This window comes from Homo sapiens, chromosome 19 (assembly GCF_000001405.40).
Source record: "Homo sapiens chromosome 19, GRCh38.p14 Primary Assembly".
In the NCBI taxonomy this organism is placed as follows: Eukaryota; Metazoa; Chordata; class Mammalia; order Primates; family Hominidae; genus Homo; species Homo sapiens.
Genome location: NC_000019.10, coordinates 17,172,207 through 17,185,880, shown reverse-complemented (window position 1 = coordinate 17,185,880; position 13,674 = coordinate 17,172,207). Strand labels below are relative to the sequence as shown.

Genomic DNA, 13,674 nt, shown 5'->3' with positions numbered 1-13,674 from the left:
CCCTGACAGCCGCTGTTCTGTGGGAGCAGACCTGGGACACTCTAGCATCAGTGTGGGGTGGATGGGGTCTGCACAGATGTGGGTCCCTGGTGGTGGGACACAGGAGGTTCCAGCTGGACGTTCTGACCCAAGCCTGCGCTATCCCTGGAAACCCTCGAGGGAGTTATGTGGTCCCCATGGTCCCAGGGCCACCAGTGCTTGTTTTTGCCTCAGGTGGAAGGCTGGGGCTGGGGAGGACCAGACAAACGCTTTCTGGAGATTTGAAACATGTGTCAACCTCAGAAGGGACCACGGATGTAGTGTTTTTTTTGTTTTGTTTTGTTTTTTTTTTTTTGAGACGCAGTCTTGCTCTTGTTGCCCAAGCTGGAGTGCAATGGCGTGATCTTGGCTCACTACAGCCTCCGCCTCCCAGGTTCAAGCAATTCTCCTGCCTCAGCCTCCCAAGGAGCTGAGATTACAGGTGCCCACCATGCCCAGCTAATTTTTGTATCTTTTTTTTTTTTTTTTGAGATGGAGTCTTGCTCTGTCGCCCAGGCTGGAGTGCAGTGGCGCCATCTCGGCTCACTGCAAGCTCCGCCTCCCGGGTTCATGCCATTCTCTTGCCTCAGCCTCCCGAGTAGCTGGGACTACAGGCACCCGCCACTACGCCCGGCTAATTTTTGTATTTTTAGTAGAGGTGGGGTTTCACCGTGTTAGCAAGGATGGTCTCAATCTCCTGACCTCGTGATCCGCCCGCCTCGGCCTCCCAAAGTGCTGGGATTACAGGCTTGAGCCACCGCGCCCGGCCAATTTTTGTATTTTTACTAGAGACGGGCTGTGCTCGGTGTCGGGTGAAGCTACACAAGCCTGAGGCTGAGCTGACCGCCACCTTCTGCCTCTCCTGCTCCACCTACCTGGAACTGGGCGCTGATGCTTGGTGGCTTTTTCTTCTTGTGCAGGTGCAGTAGGGACTTGGTGGTGCGGTCGTGCAGAGTCATGCTGATGATGAGTTTCAGGGACTTGGAGTCCAGTAGGTTCTAGGACAGACACATGGGGTCCGGCCTGCCCTCCCACAGCCCACACGGGCACGGGGAGGCATCACAGGTGTCCCCGAAGCCAGGGCAGAACAGCGTCCCCGCAGCGAGTGCCCGGGCAGCAGCTCTTAGGTTTGGTCTCAGGACCACACTATTGATGTGGGCCCAGTGGAATGAGGTGGGTTTGCACCTTGCACACAGCGCTGGTTCCGGGAGGGCTGATGACAGCCTCTTTCACAGCCTGAGTGGCTGCCCCATTTCCTCTTCCTCTGGGTTAGAGAGGAAGCCAGTGCTACTGAACCTGGCCGTCCCTCTCCTCTGCATAGCTCCTACAGTTTACATTACTTGAGTCAAGAAGGGCCAGGTCCTTTCTGTGCCATCCGCATGAGCTCATCGGACAGGCCACCATCATGTGTCAGCCAGTTCTATCAGCTGACAAGAGGAATTAGCCCTCTCCCATCTGCTAACTAGACTGCAAGGCTATTCTTACTCTTCTTGCAAATTTCTTAAATTGCTGCACTTGTATGTGGAAACGAGACAGAGCGCTTGGGAGGTTCTCTGTCCTGTCTGGAAGCAGCCCAGTAGCCAGGGACTGAAGATGGGGGTGTTAAACGGAAGGGTCCCATTACGTTGGGGCAGGATGAGCTCTGTGGTGCTATGAACCCACTAGAGCTCCCCATGGGACCAGGCTGAGGCCAGACTTCAGCTATGCTTACGCCCCTAGCTTCCTCCCTCACCCCTTCTCTCTGCCTTCTCACGTAAGCCCTCTTCCATAAGCCGCTGTGTGTGCAAATACCCCATCTCAGACCCTGCTTCTGGGAAACCCATAAAGAGACAGCTCTAAATCATCTCAACACGAGAACATTTTTTTTTTCTTGGAGGGAGGGGGAGATAGTGGGAAGGAGGAGGAAATGAAGTTGCAGAAGTGAAAGCTCTCAAGACGGGCAGAGAAGCAAGATATCTTGGAACGTGTCGCGCGGGGTGTGTTTTTTTTTTTACCTTTGGAATGATCTGCTTTTGTTTGATACCTTTACTTTTCCTGTCAAAATATTAAAAATGGTTTTGTGAACAAAAGGAACACAGTGTCGGGATTTGGGTTAGTTCAGCAAGCCACGCCTGGCGGGTTAGACTGAGAGACACAGAGAGAGGGGAGAGAGTGAGAAGGCGCAAGTGCAACAAGGCCACCGCCACCTCTCCACGCTGCACACCGTGGCGTGCCTCAGCCACTGTCTGTGGACACCAGTTTCCCTGGGTTGGCGGCACCCGGACTCTGCTGGTGGCTGCCCCAAAGCTGAGTAAAGTGTTTAGTCTGGGGGCCATTCGGATGTCTGAGAAGTAGGAGGGGCTGGCTAGGAATCTACAGGGTGGGACGTGCATCCAGCGGGGCTTGCTATGGAGGAACTGACATATCCCCCAGATCACAGCAGGATGCCGAGTGGGGCGGAGGGAGCCTGAGCAGTCCTGGTGGTGACCAGGTGACCAGGCTGTCTTTGCCATGTGCTGGTAGATGCCAAGCAGGCCCACAGAGGCCCTTCTGGAACCCTCTGCTGGCAGGGCAGGGACTTGCCCTGCAAAATAACCAAAATGGGGCCTGGGTGGGAGCTCCTTTCAGGATCATGCTGGTGGGAAAGAAGAAAACCAAAGCTGGCCAGGCGCAGTGGCTCACGCCTGTAATCCCAGCACTTTGGGAGGCTGAGGTGAGCGGATCACCTGAGGTCAGGAGTTCAAGGCCAGCCTGGCCAACATGGTGAAACCCTGTCTCTACTAAAAATACAAAAATTAGCCAGGTGTGGTGGCGGGTGCCTGTAATCCCAGCTACTCAAGAGACTGAGGCAGGAGAACTGCTTCAACCCAGGAGGCGGAGGTTGCAGTGAGCCGAGATCGTGCCACTGCACTCCAACCTGGGTGACAGAGAGAGACTCTGTCTCAAAACCCCCCCCAAAACCCAAAGCTGCTCTTTTGGCCGAGGTAAGGAAGGGGATAGCTCCTGTGTTCTCAGACACCTTATGGAATCTTGCAGACCAAGGGGGAAAATAAATAAATAAGTAAATATATTTATTTATTCAAAAGGCCTGGTGCCTTTTGAAGACCGGCTAAGGAGATGGTAACTTGTAGATCTGTGAGATGCCTAGCCATCCGTGGTTGCATTCAGTTTCACCTGAATCCCTGTGGGGTAAAATAAGGCACAACAAGGACAAAAGTTTGAGGCCGAGGTGGGCGGATCATTTGAGGTCAGGAGTTCAAGACCAGCCTGGCCAACATGGTGAAACCCCATCTCTACTAAAAACAGAAAAAAATTAGTCGGGTGTGGTGGTGCACACCTGTAATCCCAGCTACTTGGGAGGCTGAGGCAGGAGAATCACTTGAACCCGGGAGGTGGAGGTTGCAGTGAGCCAAGATTGAGCCACTGCACTCCAGCCTGGCGACAGAGTGAGACTCTGCCTCAAAAAAAAAAGGAACAGAAGTTTTAAACAGGCTCCCACTGGGTGCGGTGGCTCATGCCTGTAATCCCAGTGCTTTGAGAGGCTGAGGCAGGAAGATCGCTTGAGCCCAGGAGTTTGAGACCAGCCTGACAGCCTGGGCTATAACATAGCAAGATTCCACCTCTACAAACAATAAAATTAGACAGGTGTGGTAATGCGCACCTGTAGTTCCAGCTACTCTGGAGGTTGAGGCAGGAGGATTGCTTGAGCCCAGAAGGTCGAACCTGCCGTGAGCGGTGATCGTTTCACTGCTGCACTGTAGCCTGGGCAACAGAATGAAACCCCCATCTCTTAAAAAAGAAAAAAAAAAAAAAGGGCGGTGAATCATGCCTGTAATCCCAGCACTTTGGGAGGCCAAGACAGACGGATCACCTGAGGTCAAGAGTTCAAGACTAGCCTGGCCAACATGGTGAAACCCCATCTCTACTAAAAATACAAAAAATTAGCTGGAAGTAGTGGCAGGTGTTAGCAATCCCAGCTACTCAGGAGGCTGAGGTGGGAGAATCGCTTGAACCCGGGAGGCAGAGGTTGCAGTGAGCCGAGATCATACCATTGCACTCCAGCCTGGGCAACAAGAGTGAAACTCCGTCTCAAAAAAAGAACGAAAGAACGAAATAAAGAACGAACGAAAGAAAGAAAGAAAGAAAGAAACTGGCTCTCATTGGCTCCCATGCAGGTGCAAGCTTTGCTCTCAGCCAGCCCACACCCCAATGGCCACTAAAAGGCGAGATGTGGTGACCGCAGGTGGATGTCTTGTCAGCTGAGGCTGCTGCCTGCCTGGTGCTGGGTCAGCATAATGGAAGCATGAGAGTCATTACCCCATTTGCAGGCTGAAAGCAGAGACTACTCAATCCCACAGTGTGCTAACAGTCGGGATCCCAAACCGGTTTATGCACCTTCTGGGCTCTCCTGACTGGCTTATGTGGCCACCTGCAGAGATCAGGGCCACCCTCTCTGGGAAATCGCATGCCCTGCTGCAGATGGCTTCTCTGCAAACTCACAGTGGCAAAGGCGGGAGCAAGCTTTGCTCTGCAAGCCAGATAGGCACGGGGAGGAGACGGAGGATGGCACGTTTGCGGGTGGAAAATTAGATGCCTCGAAGAAGGAGTGCTCCTGGGAAGCTGCCCCGTGTGCTGGGAAGCCGGCTGTGCCTGGGCCACAGTGCAGACAGAGGCCAGGGGTGTTATTGATTGGCATTTAGTGATGGCTGGGGGTGGGCCATGAGACAGCACTGTGGTTTTAGTGGCCGATGCAAATTAGGAAGACTGCAGGCCCCGCCGGGGTCGCAGGAGTAGTGGGAGGCGGTTGTCGCACTTGTAAGCAGGGCCTTGGTGGGGGACTCACAGGATGAAGGCGCGGGGTTTCTGGAGCCGACTGAGGGACTGGAGAAGGCTACGGGGGTCCTCGCCCTGCCAGGGCAATCCTTTGATGCTCTTGATCATTTGGTTATGCAAATCGCTGAGGGGAGGGGTGGAGGGGGCGCAGTGACAGAAAGAAGATGGAGTTAGAAGCAGGCCTGCCACCTCGGGGTTCCCAGCGCCATTGGGACCATCCCCAGGCCACTGAAGCCAAAACATGCAGCTGGGGGAAAGACACTGTGCTCAATGCTGCCCCTCTCTCTTTTGCCAGAAATGGGGACTGGGCCAGCCTCCCCAAGCCCTGGAGCGGGGCAGGGCTTTGAGGCAAATTGGACTTGGCAACACAGATCATTGATCCTTTTCAATACATCATTTCCAGCTGGGTGCGGTGGCTCACACCTGTAATCCCAGCACTTTGAGAGGCCGAGGCGGGTGGATCACCTGAGGTCAGGAGTTCGAGACCAGCCTGGCCAACATGGCGAAACTCATCTCTGCTAAAAATACAAAAAGTTAGCTGGGCATGGTGGAGGGCACCTGTAATCCCAGCTACGTGGGAGGCTGAGGCAGAATTGCTTGAACCCGGGAGGCAGAGGTTGCAGTGAGCTGAGATAGTGCCATCCATTGCACTCCAGCCTGGGAGACAGAGCGAGACTCTGTCTCAAAAAAAAAAAAAAAAAAAAAAAAATTATTTCCATCTGGTCATTCCACTTTATTCGATCCTTTTCATTTGGATCACTGAAAAAGTTCTCATATTTAAGAGCCTTTGGGGATATTTATTTATTTATTTATTTATTGAGACGGAGTCTCACTCTGTCGCCCAGGCTGGAGTACAATGGCGCAATCTCAGCTCACTGCAACCTCTGCCTCCTGGGTTCAAGCAATTCTCCTGCCTCAGCCTCCTAAATAGCTAGGATTACAGGCGTGCACCACCATGCCCGGCTAATTTTTGTATTTTTAGTAGAGATGGGGTTTCATCATGTTGGTCAGGGAGGTCTTGAACTCCTGACCTTGTGATCGGCCCACCTCAGCCTTCCAAAGTGCTGGGATTACAGGTGTGAGCCACCGCGCCTGGCTGGGGATATTTATTTAGTTTTAAATTTATTTTTATTTTTATTTTATTTTTTTTTGGAAACAGTGTCTTGCTCTGTTGCCCAGGCTGGAGTGCAGTGGTGCGATCTCAGCTCACTGCAACCTCCACTTTCCAGGTTCAAGCGATTCTCCTGCCTCAGCCTCCTGAGTAGCTGGGATTACAGACATGCATCACCCTGCTCAGCCTATTTATTTTTTAAATTCCATGACAGGCTGGGCGCGGTGGCTCATGCCTGTAATCCCAGCACTTTCGGAGGCTGAGCAGGGCAGATCACCTGAGGTAGGGAGTTCAAGACCAGCCTGGCCAACATGGTGAAACCCCGTCTCTACTAAACACACAAAAATTAGCTGGGCATGGTGGCGCATGCCTGTAGTCCCAGTCACTCCGGAGGCTGAGGCACGACAATCGCTTGAACCTGGGAGGCAGAGGTTGTAGTGAGCCGAGATCGCACCACTGCACTCCAGCCTGGGCAACAGAGTGAGACTCTGTCTAAAAAAAAAAAAAAAAAAAAAAAAATCAGTTGGGGCGACTCAGAAAAAAGACCCTAGGGAGGGTCTCTGTGGGAGGAGCAAATTAGTCTCTCTCCATGATTTTGTGGCCAGATGTCAATCTCCTTGTTGGCTTCATTAAGGCCTTTGGAGGAATTAATTTGAATACAAGAGCCACAGTTTGAACACAGCAGTTCTCAACCGGGGCGGTACCATCCCCATCAGGGGACATCTGCCAATGTCTGCAGACATTTGTGGTTGCCATGACTTGGGGGTGGGGGTGCTCTCCTGGCATCTGGTGGGTGGAGGCCAGGGATGCTGCTCAACACCCTACAGTCTACAGGACGGGTGCCCACCCCAGAGAATGATCTGGCACAGTGCTGAGGTTGAGAAACCCTAGTTTTTTTTTTTTTTTTTTTTTACAGAGTCTTGCTCTGTTGCCCAGGCTGGAGTGCAGTGGTGTGATCTCGGCTCACTGCAAACCCCGCCTCCCAGGTTCAAGTGATTCTCCTGCCTCAGCCTCCCCAGTAGCTAGGATTACAGGTGCACACCACGCCTGGCTAATTTTTGTATTTTTAGTAGACACAGGGTTTCACCATGTTGGCCAGGCTGGTCTTGAATTCCCATCCTCAAGTGACCTGCCCACGTATGCCTCCCCCAAGTGCTGGGATTACAGGGGTGAGCCACTGCGCCCGGCCAGAGAAACCCTAGTTTAAGGGGATAATTACCCTCAAAGCACTCAACCTTACTCGCTTCATTTTGTTTGATGGCTGTGGGCTTAGGCTTGAGCACGCACGCGGAGGTGCAAACTTTGGCACTGATACCGTGTGTGAATTAGAATGCCTTAGAGATGAAAACTGGATGCTTTCAAACTAAATATTAGTGAGGAATGTCTAAATGACAAATGTTTTTGACAGAACTCAGAACTTCTAGAAATGAGGATCTGGTTTTTCCTGCTTTTTTTTTTTTTTTGAATTCCTTATTCCAGACATTTTATTTATTTTTTCTTGTAGGCGTGTGGTCTTGCTATGTTGCCCAGGCTGGTTTCAAACTCCTGGCCTCAAGTGATCCTCCGGCTTTGGCCTCCCAAAGCGCTGGGATTGCAGGTGCGTGCTACCGCATCCTGCTGGCAGTCGTTCAAAGCACATGTTTTAGCTCTCGGCAGGTGGCCTGGAAGGACCCGACCCCAGCCCCTGTGCTCCATGCACCATGCCAAGTGCCCCCATGGCCCCACTTACCTGCTCTCCCCAGCCCTCCAGGGAGGCAGAGCAAAGGCAACAGAGGGGTCGCCTGTCACCTCTATATGCGAGTGGCCTTCACACCCAGGGTGGTCAGTGCAGCGGCCACGGCTTGGAATGAGGCCCATGACTTTGGCCCACCCGCAGCCCTGCCGACCTGGCTAAATCTGCAAATCTGGCAGGAGTGGCCCTTGCAGGCCCTGGCATTCCCTGAACGGCCAGTCCTCTCTGTCTGTGTCCTGGACGCAGCACTGAGCACCTGGGGAAGATGGCTCCCCTTGGTGCCTTGCTGGCCTCGGGATCAAAGGCCCTTTCTGCACTTACTTCTTGCTTTCATAGAAAGCAATGATGTCCTCAAAAGCGTTAATATCGAACTCCTCAGAGCCGTCAAATGAGAAATCTAGCATTGAGCAGCTGAAAGGGAGAATCTGTATAAACTTAACATGCTCCTTGGGCGGGACCTGCAGCCCTGTGGCCAGGCCCTGGGGAGATGGATGCTGCTTCTGCTACCGCAGGTCAGAAGTCACTTTGTCTTTGGGGTAACGGAGGCAAGAAAAAAAAAAAAGAGGACTGGGTGTGGTGGCTCATGCCTGTAGTCCCATCACTTTGGGAGGCTGAGGTGGGAAGATGGCTTGAGGCCAGGAGTTTGAGATTAGCCTGGGCAACATAATCAGACCCTGTCTTTATAAAAGAAAAAATAAGCCAGGCGTGGTGGCGTGTGCCTGTTGTCCCAGCTACTTGGGAGGCTGAGGTGGGGGGATTGCTTGAGCCCAGGAGGTTGAGGCTGCAGTGAGCTGTGATTACACCACTGCACAATAGCCTGGTCTCAAGCAAAACAAAACAAAACAAAAATGCAACCCACACAATGAAATAGAAGGAAGTTTCTAGCTGTTGGGAACTTGGGGGACCAAAAAAAAAAAAAAACCAACAAACAAAAACAACAGAGGAATGCATTCTCCTTACTTGTGTCCCATTTTGGGTGAAAAAGGTGATTCCAAAAACTTTTTTTTGAGACAGAGTCTTGCTCTGTCACCCAGGCTGGAGTGCAGTGGTGCGATCTTGGCTCACCGCAACTTCCATCTCCCAGGTTCAAGCAATTCTCCTGCCTCAGCCTCTCGAGTAGCTGGGACTACAGGTACTCGCCACCACGCCTGGCTAATTTTAGTATTTTTAGTAGAGACGAGGTTTCACCATGTTGGCCAGGCGGGTCTCAAACGCCCGACCTCAAGTGATCCGCCCGCCTTGGTCTCCCAAAGTGCTGGGATTACAGGCGTGCACCATCACGTCTGGCCAGCCTGCTCACTTTTCTACCCTGGTGCTGGCACATGCTTGGGTGCGTGCAGGGCCCTTGGTCATTGCTAGGGTCCACAAAAGACCCCGTGTCATCTCATGTGCAATATCAAAGTGTATGTGTTTCTGACTGTGAATGAAGTAACTTGGCAGAACTACTTTTGGGCCACTCCAGGCAGGATGGGGGAAGAACTCTCCAATCAATCAAGCCCGTCTCTCCGCACCACCATCGATGCTTGGGCTCTACCTCCCAGTGCCCACCCTAGGCCATAAAATGGATCCTTTGTAAACTGAGCCTCCTCCCATCTCCCTAAAGCGCATGATGCACCACGGCCTGCTATTCTGTGTCCAGAAAAGCAGCCACCAAATGCTGCTTGGTTCTGGGTCTTTCTGTTTCAAATGGAAGCTCAGTGACTTATTCAGAGCAACCTCGACCTGGGTTTAGAATGTAGCATTCCCTGGTGGCTCACGCCTGTAATCCCAGCACTTTGGGAGGCTGAGGCAGGTGGATCACCCAAGGTCAGGAGTTCAAGACCAGCCTGACTAACATGGAGTAACTCCGTCTCTACTAAAAATACAAAATTAGGCAGGGTGCAGTGGCTCACGCCTGTAATCCCAGCACTTTGGGAGGCTGAGGCGGGTGGATCACGAGGTCAGGAGATCAAGACCATCCTGGCCAACACGGTGAAACCCCGTCTCTAGTTAAAAAAAAATACAAAAGAAATTAGCCGGGTGTGGTGGCGGGTGCCTGTAGTCCCAGCTACTCCGGAGGCTGAGAAAGGAGAATGGCATGAACCTGCGAGGCGGAGCCTGCAGTGAGCCGAGATCACGCCACTGCACTCCAGCCTGGGCAACAGAGCAAGACTCTGTCTAAAAACAAACAAACAAACAAAAACCAACAAAAAACAAAACAAAACAAAATTAGCTGGGCATCGTGGCGCATGCCTGTAATCCCAGCTACTCGGGAGGCTGAGGCAGGAGAATCGCTTGAACCCGGGAGGTGGAAGTTGGGGTGAGCCGAGATTGCGCCATTGCACTCCAGCCTGGGCAACAAGAGCGAAATTCCATCTCAAAAGAAAAAAAAAAAAAAAAAAAAGAATGTAGCATTCCCTAAGTTGTTTGAAACAATGCTGCTGCCACCTAATGATTTCAGTTTGGGCAAATCAGGGTCTTGCTCACCGGTAAAGTTTTTCCGAAGGGGTGCTGGCTCCTCTTGGCAGCTCTTCTGGGTGACTTTGGGCACCAGGGCTGCTCATACCTGCCGGAGACACAGAGTGGATGGTGGTGGGGATGGCCTCCTATGGAGGCTGCAATTATTTTAACCCATTTTATTTATTTATTTGAGATGGAGTCTTGCTCTGTCACCCAGGCTGGAGCACAGTGGCGCGATCTCGGCCCACTGCAACTTCTGCCTCCTGAGTTCAAGGGATTCTCCTGCCTCCGCCTCCTGAGTAGCTAGGACTACAGGCCACTGTGCCCAGCTAATTTTTGTATTTTTAGTAGAGACGGGGTTTTGCCATATTGGCCAGGCTGGTCTTGAACTCCTGACCTCAGGTGATCTGCCCACCTTGGCCTCCCAAAATCCTGGGATTATAGGCATGAGTCTCTGCAACACCCCCCAACCTTTTTTTTTTTTTTTTTAATTTTTTACCAACAGGGTCTTGCTGCATTGCCTAGGCCGAGTGCAGTGGTGCGATCACAGCTCGTGTAACCTCCAACTCCTGGGCTCAAGCAATCCTCCTACTTCAGCCTCCCAAGTAGCTGGGGCTACAGGCACATGCTGACACACATGACTAAGTTTCAACTTTTCTGGAGAGATGGGGTCTCACTATGTGGCCCAGGCTGGTCTCAAATAGCTGGCCTCAAGAGAGCTGTCTTGGCCTCCTAAAGTGCTAGGACTACCGGTGTGCACCATTGTACCCAGACACTTTGACCCATCTTTTAATTAATTAATTAATTAATTTATTATTTATTTATTTATTTTTTTGAGACAGAGTCTTGCACTGTCGCCTGGGCTGGAGTGCAGTGGCGCGATCTTGGCTCACTGCAACCTCTGCCTCCCCGGTTTAAGTGATTCTCCTGCCTCGGCCTCCTGAGTAGCTGGGACTATAGGTGCCTGCCACTGCACCTGGCTAATTTTTTGTATTTTTACTAGAGACGGGGTTTCACTATGTTGGCCAGGCTGGTCTCAACCGCCTGACCTCGTGGTCCACCCACCTCGGTCTCCCGAAGTGTTGGGATTACAGACGTGAGCCACCGTGTCCGGCCTATTTATTTATTTTCTGAGACGGAGTCTTGCTCTGTCATCCAGGCTGAAGTGCACTGGCATGATCTTGGCTCACTGCAACCTCCGCCTCCCGGGTTCAAGCGATTCTCCTACCTCAGCCTCCCTGTGGTAGCTGGGACCACAGGCATGCACTACCATGCCTGGCTAATATTTGCATTTTTAGTAGAGATGGGCTTTCACCATGTTGGTCAGGCTGCTCTTGAACCCGACCTCAAGCGATCGTCTGCGTCAGCCTCCCAAAGTGCTGGGATTTCAGGCTTGAGCCACTGCACCTGGCAGACCGATCTTAAAAAGCAGCTCATTGGCCAGGCGTGGTGGCTCACGCCTGTAATCCCAGCACTCTGGGAGGCCGAGCCAGACGGATCGTGAGGTCAGGAGATCGAGACCATCCTGGCTAACATGGTGAAACCCTATCTCTACTAAAAAATACAAAACAATTAGCCAGGCGTGGTGGCGGGTGCCTGTAGTCGCAGCTACTTAGGAGGCTGAGGCAGGAGAATGGCGTGAACCCGGGAGGCGGGGCCTGCAGTAGCCGAGATCGCGCCACTGCACTCCAGCCTGGGCGACAGAGCAAGACTCCGTCTCAAAAAAAAAAAAAAAAAAAAAAAAAAGCAGCTCATCACTCAAGTTTGGGGCAAAGTTGGGTGGGTAACTGTGAAGTTTTGGATCCCCAAAACAGAGCACTATTTCCTATTTCTCAGGAAAGCTTTATCCTTCCTCCTTTTCATGAAGCCCCTTCCGGAGACAGAAGCCACAGCTGATAACTGAAACTGAAGCTGAGGACGGAAGGTTGGAGCCCTTAGACCTGGGTGAGCCACTCAACCATGCAGGCCTCAGGTTGCCTCTGGGAAAAATGAGGACATAGCTTTCTGCCATCCTTCTATCAGCAACTCTATAGGGCTGGCCCAAGTCTTGAGTGGATCAGGCACACCCCCTGCCTCAAACCATCTCTGTCTAGGACGGGGGAACAGAAATGTCCCTTTGAGGCTGGGTTCCCAGTAGAGAATGCTCAGTTAAGAGAAGAGGCTGGGGCTGGGCATGGTGACTCACACCTGCAATCCCAGCATTTCATGAGTCAGAGGCGGGCGGATCACTTGAGGTCAGGAGTTCGAGACCAGCCTGGCCAACAGGGCGAAACCCCGTCTCTACTAAAAATACAAAAATTAGCCTATGTGGTGGCGGTAACCTGTAGTCCCAGCTACTTGGGAGGGTGAAGCAGGAGAATCGCTTGAACCCAAGAGGCAGAGGTTGCAGTGAGCCGAGATTGCGTCATTACACTAGAGCCTGGGCAAGAGAGAGAGAGAGAGAGACCCTGTCTCTAAAAAAAAAAAAAAAAAAAAAGAGCAAGACAGAGAGAGAGAAACAAGAGGCAAAACACTAGGAAGAGCTACATTATCACAATCAGCAAACTCCCAGGGCCAGTGGGATCAGAGGGCATCATTTGCAAAGGAGACGCCTGATGGAGTTGCTGATAGCATGCCCTGAGGTTAAATTACACACGCAGGTCGAGTTTCTGTTCAGGGTGACAGGAACACTTCAGGTAGACAGGTGGCGTTTGCACAACATAATGAATGTACTAAATGCCACTGAAGTGTTCACTTTAAGATGAACTCAGGATGTGCCCCCCTCTCGACAGTGACGCTTTTGTGGGTTCACGCCCCAGCTCCCACCTGCAGCCTTTTCGGCCCTCTCGGCCCGCAGGCGTCCGGCCTCCCGAAGCACTGCCATGGCCCGGATAGCAGCCCGGAGCACGGCCCAGCGGAACACGGCCACGGGGTCCATGCCGATGAGCTCCCGCACGTAGGAGCTGTCACTGCCCCGCAGCAGGGCCACGATGTCTGGCCGCATGTAGTCCATGTTCTTCTCCCGGAAGTCCTGGTGGGGGATGGATGTGGGCGGTCACTCGGGGATAGTCACTCACCGGCGCCTACCAAAGACCCCGGGCTGGCGCAGGAAGGGCTGACGGTGGGGTGGGGCCCATCCTAAGTGCAAATGGCAGTTCTTGAACTATGGCGCCTTGGACATTGGAGCCGGGGATTCGCGGTGGGTTCTGAGCACCCTGGAACCTCGCCCACAGGAGGATCCTCCCACATGGGCTTCTGGGCTGACTGTGGCTTCCCTCAGGCTTCCACCAGTGGTGATGGGCAGACACCTACCTTGATCTGATATTTCACCTTCCCTGCGAAGTGCTGGATGATGAAAGCTGGCTCCATGACCGGGGTGCCCAGGAAGTACTTATTGTCCTCATGTTGCTGTTTGAACTTGGCCAGCAGGGTCTGGCTCGTGGCGTGGGGGAAGCTGGGAACAGAACATGGAACCTTTGCAGGCATGAACAGCGGCTGATTTACCTGCTGTGTATTTTATCTTGCAGACCCCTGGTGCACGAGGTGGGTGGGTGCATGGGGTGGGCAGAGCAGTGAAGTGGCA

The 13,674-nt window shown here is 52.6% G+C and overlaps 1 protein-coding gene across 2 annotated transcripts in view, besides 5 other annotated features; it reads right to left on the bottom strand.

The window, feature by feature from the left end:
• MYO9B (myosin IXB) overlaps positions 1-13,674 on the bottom strand; it is a 137,510-nt gene that overhangs the window by 27,406 nt on the left and 96,430 nt on the right. For both annotated transcript variants that reach the window (NM_001130065.2, NM_004145.4), the window contains exons 12-17: positions 13,404-13,545; positions 12,918-13,122; positions 10,140-10,218; positions 4,841-4,954; positions 2,013-2,052; positions 894-1,016 (exon numbers count right to left, since the gene is read on the bottom strand). In NM_001130065.2, coding sequence (NP_001123537.1) covers positions 894-1,016; positions 2,013-2,052; positions 4,841-4,954; positions 10,140-10,218; positions 12,918-13,122; positions 13,404-13,545 — 703 coding nt within the window. The remainder of the gene's footprint in view (positions 1-893; positions 1,017-2,012; positions 2,053-4,840; positions 4,955-10,139; positions 10,219-12,917; positions 13,123-13,403; positions 13,546-13,674) is intronic.
• Positions 1,366-1,575: an enhancer, noted in NCBI's record as "active region_14259". NCBI's record gives its function as "activates an Ori minimal core promoter by ATAC-STARR-seq in GM12878 lymphoblastoid cells {active_cell/tissue: GM12878}" and the evidence as "EXISTENCE:reporter gene assay evidence [ECO:0000049][PMID:35858748]".
• Positions 4,124-4,715: an enhancer, noted in NCBI's record as "NANOG-H3K4me1 hESC enhancer chr19:17291975-17292566 (GRCh37/hg19 assembly coordinates)". NCBI's record gives its function as "activates a minimal SCP1, AML or CMV promoter by ChIP-STARR-seq in primed H9 embryonic stem cells {active_cell/tissue: H9 hESC(primed)}" and the evidence as "EXISTENCE:reporter gene assay evidence [ECO:0000049][PMID:30033119]".
• Positions 4,327-4,621: a silencer, noted in NCBI's record as "tiled region #761; HepG2 Repressive non-DNase unmatched - State 15:Elon". NCBI's record gives its function as "represses a minimal TATA promoter and a strong SV40 promoter by Sharpr-MPRA in HepG2 cells {active_cell/tissue: HepG2}" and the evidence as "EXISTENCE:reporter gene assay evidence [ECO:0000049][PMID:27701403]".
• Positions 4,716-5,308: an enhancer, noted in NCBI's record as "H3K4me1 hESC enhancer chr19:17291382-17291974 (GRCh37/hg19 assembly coordinates)". NCBI's record gives its function as "activates a minimal SCP1, AML or CMV promoter by ChIP-STARR-seq in primed H9 embryonic stem cells {active_cell/tissue: H9 hESC(primed)}" and the evidence as "EXISTENCE:reporter gene assay evidence [ECO:0000049][PMID:30033119]".
• Positions 7,934-8,117: a silencer, noted in NCBI's record as "fragment chr19:17288573-17288756 (GRCh37/hg19 assembly coordinates)". NCBI's record gives its function as "represses an EF-1alpha promoter that drives an FKBP-Casp9 reporter gene in an ReSE screen in HepG2 liver carcinoma cells {active_cell/tissue: HepG2}" and the evidence as "EXISTENCE:reporter gene assay evidence [ECO:0000049][PMID:32094911]".